The following is an 8118-nucleotide window of genomic DNA, read 5'->3' on the forward strand; positions in this document are numbered from 1 at the left end:
GATAGGACTTTGAAAATTTGAGATTTTGATAGAAGTGTAAGGGAGCAATTTTTTAGATTGGTTCTATGTGCCAAGGGGGAGAGGGCAAACAAAGGCACATTGGGGTGCTGGTTATGAGTTTGCTTGCACACTCGCAGTGTTCTCTTCCCTGGTCTGGGGCATTGTGTCTGTTCACACAGTTGAAAACCAATGGTGGCCGTGGGCAGCCCTGGACCTCCTAAGGACACAAGGCGAAACCAACCACCTAGCCACAAAACAGACGCAACCAGAGCCTAGCTAGCTCTCCAGCCTCTGGGCTCTCCCTGCATGGACGGCCACTCTACCTACCTCTAAGACCTATCTGGGCTTGGAAAAGGAAGCTCCTGAGCAGCCTCAGCCCTGATGGTGAACTCAGCATCAAGCCACAGCTTCTATCAGTCAGCCTGGAGAAAGCAGGCCCAGAGATGCACATTAGGATCCTGCCTGGCTCACAAATTCCTCTGCAGTGAAGTGACAGGAGTCAAGCTAGTATTGCAGCCTGAGTCATGTCACCTCCCTTGCAGGTTTCCTTAAGGTCATGAGTCTCCTGTGCATGGATTCATAATCCATGATCCAGTTTGAGTAAGTTGGCCCATGGTTTAGGCTTTGGTCCCCAAGCTTCTGTTTTGATATCTGTCTGCTATTCCCTGTCCTTCCCCTGCAACAATCCCATCCTCAAATCCAGTTTTCCTGCATTTCCAAATAGCACCTTCTCCGCTATGGTAGACAGCTTCAAGGTAGTCCCCACTCATCCTCACCTTGAAGCCATACCCTTGAGCAGTTTGCTCTCACATTCACTCGGGGTGACCTGTGTGACCACAGTAGCATGCAGCTGACGTGACAATGTACAACCTCTGAGGTGAGGTCATGGGAGATGTCGCGGCTTCTGTCTTGTGCCCTTGGACCCATCCCCCTGGGGAAACCAGCCACCTTGCCATCAGCCCCAGCAGCCTTGTGGGAGGTTCCCTGGGGAGGAACCAGAGCTGTCCACGAAGGGTCAGGAGCCACCTTGGAAGCAGATCCCAGGGTCCAGGCAAGCCTTCATAAGACTGTATCTGGCCGACATTTGATTGTGACCTCATGTGAGACTTTGGGCCAGAACCACCAACAAAGCTGCTCCTGAATTCCCAATTCACAGAAACCGTTAGAGAATAATTATTTTAAGTTACAAAATTTAGGGGCTACTTGTCAAACAGATAACAGAACCAGAGAATAGATAACCAATACACCTGCTTCTCTAGTTTCCTTAAGGCAGTGCTCCACCTACCCATTGAACACCCCATTATACTCAGGGAAGATGACCCCCAAACCCTATCACCTCTCACCCGATCATGTGCTAGTGATTACTGTGCTAGTACTTGCTAATTCTATTCCATTCCTATTACTCCGTCTTGCTGTGAGTACAAAAGCCAGGCTTTTCTATGAGTTCTGAAATAACAGTGTAATGAGGCAAATTCAAACTAGCACTAAGAAGATACTCAGAAGGGTAAAGTTCCCAGGACACAGACAACCCTATAGACTAGGCTTGCTCTAAGTGTTAATCCCTTTGCAGATACATTCTGTAGGTAAGAAGGCAAATGCCTTTTCCAAAAGGGCCTGTGTCCATTTCACAGATGAGGAAACTGGGACTTATGCAGAGCCTTGCTAGGCTTGGTGTATGTGAGGGCTCAGCACACTGGTTGACCAGCCTGCTGTGGGGTCTCTGTCTTACCCATGAGTCATGCTTTCTGCTTCCAGGGATGCAGTCTGGTATTGAGCCACTTATGGCCTTTTTCCCTCAATACACTTGACCCAGTTCACTTTGGGGAAACTGAAGTGAAACTGCATGATATCATCTGGCCGTTGCCCAACTGCAAACTGCCCTGTCCCTCCAGGTTGCACAGTTGCAGAGGGATTGTCACCTGATGCAGCTGGACCCTCTGGGAAAGGAGGAGAAGCCGGGGGTAAAGGCGAGCAAGGCAGAGGCATTGAAACCAGAGCCAAGCACCAGTGCGTGCAGCCCTGATACAGGCCCCACCATTAGCTGACAAATTGGAATAAATAAATATGATAAATCATCTCCCCAGCCATCTTGTGAAAGGGCTTCCGAAATGCAGTGTCATTATCGGTTCCCTTACTGGTGTTCTTACAGATACATTTTAAAATGTCAACCTGAAATGGAAGCTCCAAGCCTCAAACGTTACAGAAAAATGGATTTTGTAACAAGACACTTTCTCATTTGGGCTCCTTCTCTCTGCCTCCTGCAAAAATGCTCTCTTGAGCTGACTGAAATCTGTAGTTAAATAATAGTAAGGCAAGAGGTAAATTGAAGCAGAGAAAGGTCTAGAAACAGCTTGCTATTGCAAAAAGATGGCAAGTCACAGAAAGGAAGGAAGATGACCATTCAAGATGGACATGGGCAAGCCTAGGAGACCTGTGTGTGGCAGTGGCTGTCCTGAGGGGTGGAAGTCGGGGTAAGTGATGGGAGAACCATGAGTACTCACCAACCTGCCCCACCTCTAGCCTCTTCTCCAGAACCGGTTTTCCTTTCTCCCCCTGAATTTGAATGAGAAATGTGAGGTGTCAAGTATATCCATGAAACCTCAAGAATATATGACATACCATTTTTGAATTCAGAGTTGGAAGCTGCCCTGAGGACAACGTGGTCCTCAATATGGTGCTGGGCCTGAAGGCCATTCCACTTTGCAGGAAAAAAGCTTTGGGGACACCTTCTCTGGTGGGGGCCAGTATTTGTTGAGGTCCTGCAGCACTGTCCAGGTGTCAAACATACCTTGGCCACAACACTGATTCATTGGCGTTTTTGAAAGAAACATATCTTGTCTACAAGAACGGGCATCTGTGTTCTCTGACCACCTGAGAGCATGATAAACAATGTTAAGAGTAGCAGCTAATACTTAGATAGCACTAACGGTGCAAGCAATGTTCTAAGTAAAGTATGATTATTATCTCATTTAGTTCTCACAACAAATTGATGATGGAAGAATGACTGATATCCTCATTTACAAGCAAGGAAACTGAGGCTCCAAGAGTTTCAGTAACTGACCTAGATTCAGCTGGCTAGTAAGCAACAGAGTTGGTATTCAGCCCAGCTCTTCCTCTCCAGTGCCTATGTTCTCTCCGTTGCTCAGGATTTCCAGCAGCACAGGCTCACCAGAAATGTGGAGCTACATTCCAGGAAACCTCTGAGAGGCCACACAAGCCACTCCTCTTTGAAAAACAGTGTCATTATCCCTGCAAAAGGAAGGGAGCAAAGTCAGGTGGCTCCCGAACCATTAAGAACCCCATGGCATTGTCCTTTTGCTTGTGGCTTTTGTTTTGTTTTTTGTTTTTTTCTCAGCATGGATTTTTCCTTTCCTCATTTTTTTTTTCTTTTTGTCTCTGGCACCATGATAGGAAACTAGCCTGCTTTCTAGACCCATTATGGGTAAGTGACCCAGAAACCCAGGACGCTAACATGAAAATTGCAGGCTGGTGAGGAATCATGGGAAGACCCTGAGCTTGAGAAATCAATGGGCTTAGGTGTGGCTCCCGGCTCTGCCACTTACAAGCTACATATTCTTGGTGAAATACAGAAATGTACCTGGGCTTAAACTCCTCATCTGTAAAACAGGGATTAACAAAAGCCTACTGTGTTGGGTTGTTGTGCTGTCAGGGACACAGTGAAACCAAGTGTGTGGTTCTGGCTTTATGATGAGTATTTGATGAATAGCAGCAACTGTTAAGTGTTAAATGAAGAAGATTCTACTTCTGTGGGGAAGTGTACCTTTTTTTCCTTTCCATTTCATTTTTAGAAATGTGGATTTTGGTTGTGCACCACAATTTACTTTCCCTCTGCCTATTTTATGCAGAGGTATAGGGAGGTCACACTGATTGATTTAAGAGGGCTTTGCCTGCATTGATAACAGTGTGGAATCATTTTGCAACAGACAGAATGTGGAATGCTATTTTTTCCCTACCGTGTGCTAGAGCGCATTTTTTTTTAACAATCTACCAGGCCCCTAAGCAGAGCGATTGACCCCTGTAGTCAATTGCATGGGAGCTCTGGTGAGGAGAGGAGAGCTCTAGTTATGCTTTCCCCGCACCCGGGTCCTGCAGACCTCACATCTCTCTACACAGCTGGGGTGGGAAATTTTGACATTAGACTCCAAAGAGGCTTCTGTGCTTTTCATAGCCCACATCCTGCTTCTCTGTAATTGGGTCTCCGGAAATGATTTCTGCAGACAGAGGGATTCTCTAAAATGTGCAGAATGAATGAGTGAATGATGAATGAATTATCCAATCTAGGATGAAAAGTGGACTCAGGAGAGATAGATGCAAAAACTTTATAAGTTCACACAGCTGAATTGGCCATTGATCCCTGGACTGAATTAGAGCTACTATCCAACTTCACCTGCATAATCTGTGCAAAGCTATTCCAAAGGGAGAGTGGTGAACAGCATGGGGCAGGGATCAAGTCTAGGTAGGTAGCTTTCCAGGGTACCTAGAGAAGCCAGGGTCCAACCAGGGAAAGATAATTCACTCTAAATATTTAAAACAGAAGGAATTTAATTTGAGAACTTGGTCACCCAGGTTTGAAGGGGGAGAGGCAGAGGGAGGAGTCTGAGAGGGATGTGGTTTTATTCAACGTTTAAAACTGAGAACTGCCTGTATAGTCCCATGTGGGCCACGTAGAAAGGCCTGGGAAGCAAGAAACTTGGCCTTTATTATGGTAGCAGCTGTGGCAAAGCCAGGCTGGTTTTCCCTTGGACTGCGGTGACCTAAGCTGAATAGAGGCTTCCTTGTGGATGTGGTAGGGTTGCAATGATCACAAACCAGGGTCAGAAGTGCAGCGGCATCATCAACCATGCAGAAGCCCAGACCCAGAATCAACCCATAGCACCCTCACAAGTCCCCGTGTCCTCCAGCACGCAGTAATGACTAGGTATTCTAAAAGCCAGATATACATGGATTGCCCAAATCAACCAACTTGTAGGCTTTGCCAGCCCTGAATCCTGACAAAAATGGGTGAGCTGAAAAGCCCATTCAAACTTCACAACTGCCATCCTGCAAGCCAAATCATTAAGCAGAAATGAGTGGAGCTATTTTGATTAAATTGGCCAGAAAAAGTAGAAGCCAAGCTCTCGTTTGCAAGGAAGCTTTGATAATTCAGTGAACTGAGTATTCAGAATGTTCTTCTTTTTTGAGTATTCTCATTCAGCATCAGGGCAGCCTTCATGGTCAGGCACAGACGTATTGCTTGACAAGCAGGCTTATCTCAGAGAAAACTCCAGGGAAGAAAGCGACCCAGAACCCATTCTGTCCTCTCTTCCAGGCTACAGTTTGGGCAGGCTTTGCATGTGCACAGAGCGACCTGCCTCTCATTCCAGCCTCATCTCTGTGTGGTAATGACTCCTAATGAGCACACTAATAAAGCCTCAGGTGTTATCTAGATTCAAAGGGGAAAGCAATTTAAATGCAAATAAATATGAACATCTTTGTATCTTACAGATTAATGAATGTCGTGGGAAGAAAACATATGACAATTATGAGCAGAAACAGTCCCAGAGAGTGAAAAATGATGTGAGAAGGTCATAAAATACTTTCCCTCAACTTCTGCCAGGGCATCAACCAAGACAGCTTGTGTAGCTATTACTTAATGTATCCTTCAAGCTCTGACAAATGAGTCAAATAGCCCTTGGTCATCTGTCCCAAAGCTTAACAGCTGGAACAGTCTTCCTGGTATCTACCTGCATTCTCCTTTTCAATAACTGGGATAGATTTTCTTGCTGTATTTACGGTGCATGTGACAGCATAGTGATAGTGGATCATGGCTGTTGTTGATTTCTGAACACTTAGCCACATATCTACCTTTTTGTGATAGTTGGCAAGCCATCTGATATACAAAAAGGATGGGCTTGGGGGCCGTAATATTAGAATTCATTCTTTTACTCATATTGTCATTTTAAAATCCACAATGCTTTGTAAGTAAATGAGTAGCATTTGAGCGAGTGAGGCTTTTGCAGAGGGAAGCCTCAATACCTGTAACCAAGGTGTTCTTAATACCTTTAATCAGGATTTCTAAACTTCGATTTACACTAAGTCTTCAGGAAAATGCTAGGAAGCACCCTGTGTCTGTCCGCAGAAGCCAAAAGTGAGCTAGAGGCTAGGACTTACTATACTCTGAACATCTGGGGAGTAATTGAGGAAATCTGTCAAATGTCAGTATTCCCTGAGCTTTCCAATGTTGGGTACCAGGGCTTGTTGCCACATTTTCCTTTGGCAGAACAAAGTTTGGGGATGGTAAACTGTAGACCTAGCCCCAATATCAGAGAGCCTCCTTTTCATTTTCTGTGATATGAAAATTAGAGCAATATCAATCTCATTCAGAGATATCCACAGGCCAGGACTCTCATAAAAGAATACAATTGTGAATCTGAGCTCTGGAGTCTTTTCCTTTTCTTCCTTCCTTCCTGCCTTCCTTCCTTCCTTCTTTCCTTCCTTCCTGCTTTTTTCTTTTTTCTTTCTTTTTTTTTTTTGACAGAGTCTCACTCTGTCTCCCAGGCTGGAGTGCAGTGGTGCGACCTTGGCTCGCTGCAATCTCCACCTCCCGAGTTCAAGCAATTCTCCTGCCTCAGCCTTCCTAGTAGCTGGGACTACAGGCATGCACCACCATGCCCACTCACGCCTGTAATCTCGGCACTTTGGGAGGCCAAGGTGGGCGGATAGCGAGGTGAGGAAATCGAGACCATCCTGGCTAACACGATGAAACCCCGGCCCTGGCATCTTTTCTCTGAAGTTCTGCAAAGTTGGAGCAGTAGGTAGATGTGAACTGTTCTACTGAGCTAGTCTCTGGGTTATCTCCAGTGTTCGAGGATAGTCATCATGGTAGACCCTGAAAGATGCATCTCCCACCTCTGGCCACATTGCTCCTTTCATCAAAGCGTGAAATCGATTTCTGCTCCCTTTGAATCTGTGCTGGCCTTGTGACTTGTTTGGCTGATAAAATGGGATGCAAGCAATTCAATTGTTATCCTCTTGGAACCCGTCCTTGGTGCTCTTAGGAAGTCAGTCTAGACTACTGGGCATGTGAGGGGAATTGAAACATCTACGTTAATGGCCAGCATCAACTGTAGCCGCATGAATGAGGCCATCTTGGATGTTCCACCCCCAGCCAAGTTCCCAGCTAAGTACAGCCACGTGAGTGCCCCAGCTAGCACCATGCAGAGCAGCACTACCTAGCTGAGCCAAGAAACGCACAGAATCAATAGAAATAATACATTATTATCATGTGAGGCTATGGAGTTTAGGGGTGGTTAATTATGCAGCCATAAATAGTCACGTAGTCCGGATGCTTAGTGATGTAAAACATGCAGGATTTGCCTTATGCGCAAGTGACAGAGGAAGGGCCCATCCACTTCAATTGACAAATGATCAGGAGATAAGAATTTCCTCAGAGACTCTTAACCAGATTGTTACTGTGCTTAATATGGCAGCATCAGGGACTGATTCCATTGGGCACACCATTATCTCTTCCCTTTAGTCTTCTTTTAAAATGTAAATGTAACCCACATGGATGTAACGAAAAGAAAAAAATTCAAGGAGTCGAAATTCCTAAAGAGAGCATTTTTCCTAGAGTGGCAGTACTCTAAACATAGGCCACAGTTTTGGATATTAAGGATGATACTTGTCCTGATGTAAAGAGAGAGGGAGAAATATTTAAAAGGAAAAATTGGAAAAGAAAAAAGAGAATGGGACTGGGAGAAAGTTTTCCCCAAGTCTGTTATCTTTCCAACCCAAACCAGTGTGACAAAGAGCATCTCCCAGCATTCTGAGAGTGGCAGTTACAGGAATCCTGAGACCCCAGTGCCAAGCTATGATAACATGCACAGGGTGAAGCCAGGTCTATCATCTGACAGCCTGGGTGGGTTGTAAGGAAAGAAAGATGAGATGAGGGATTGACATGATCCAGTCACTGATTTTTAGCCAACAGCCAGGGTGTTATCTTTTGAAGATGGGAATATAACCAATCTGGCCATGTCTGAATAGTTCTAAAACTTTTTTTTTTTTTGAGATGGAGTCTTGCTCTGTCATTCAGGCTGGAGTGCAATGGTGCTATCTTGG

This window comes from Homo sapiens, chromosome 1 (assembly GCF_000001405.40).
Source record: "Homo sapiens chromosome 1, GRCh38.p14 Primary Assembly".
Taxonomy (NCBI): domain Eukaryota; kingdom Metazoa; phylum Chordata; class Mammalia; order Primates; family Hominidae; genus Homo; species Homo sapiens.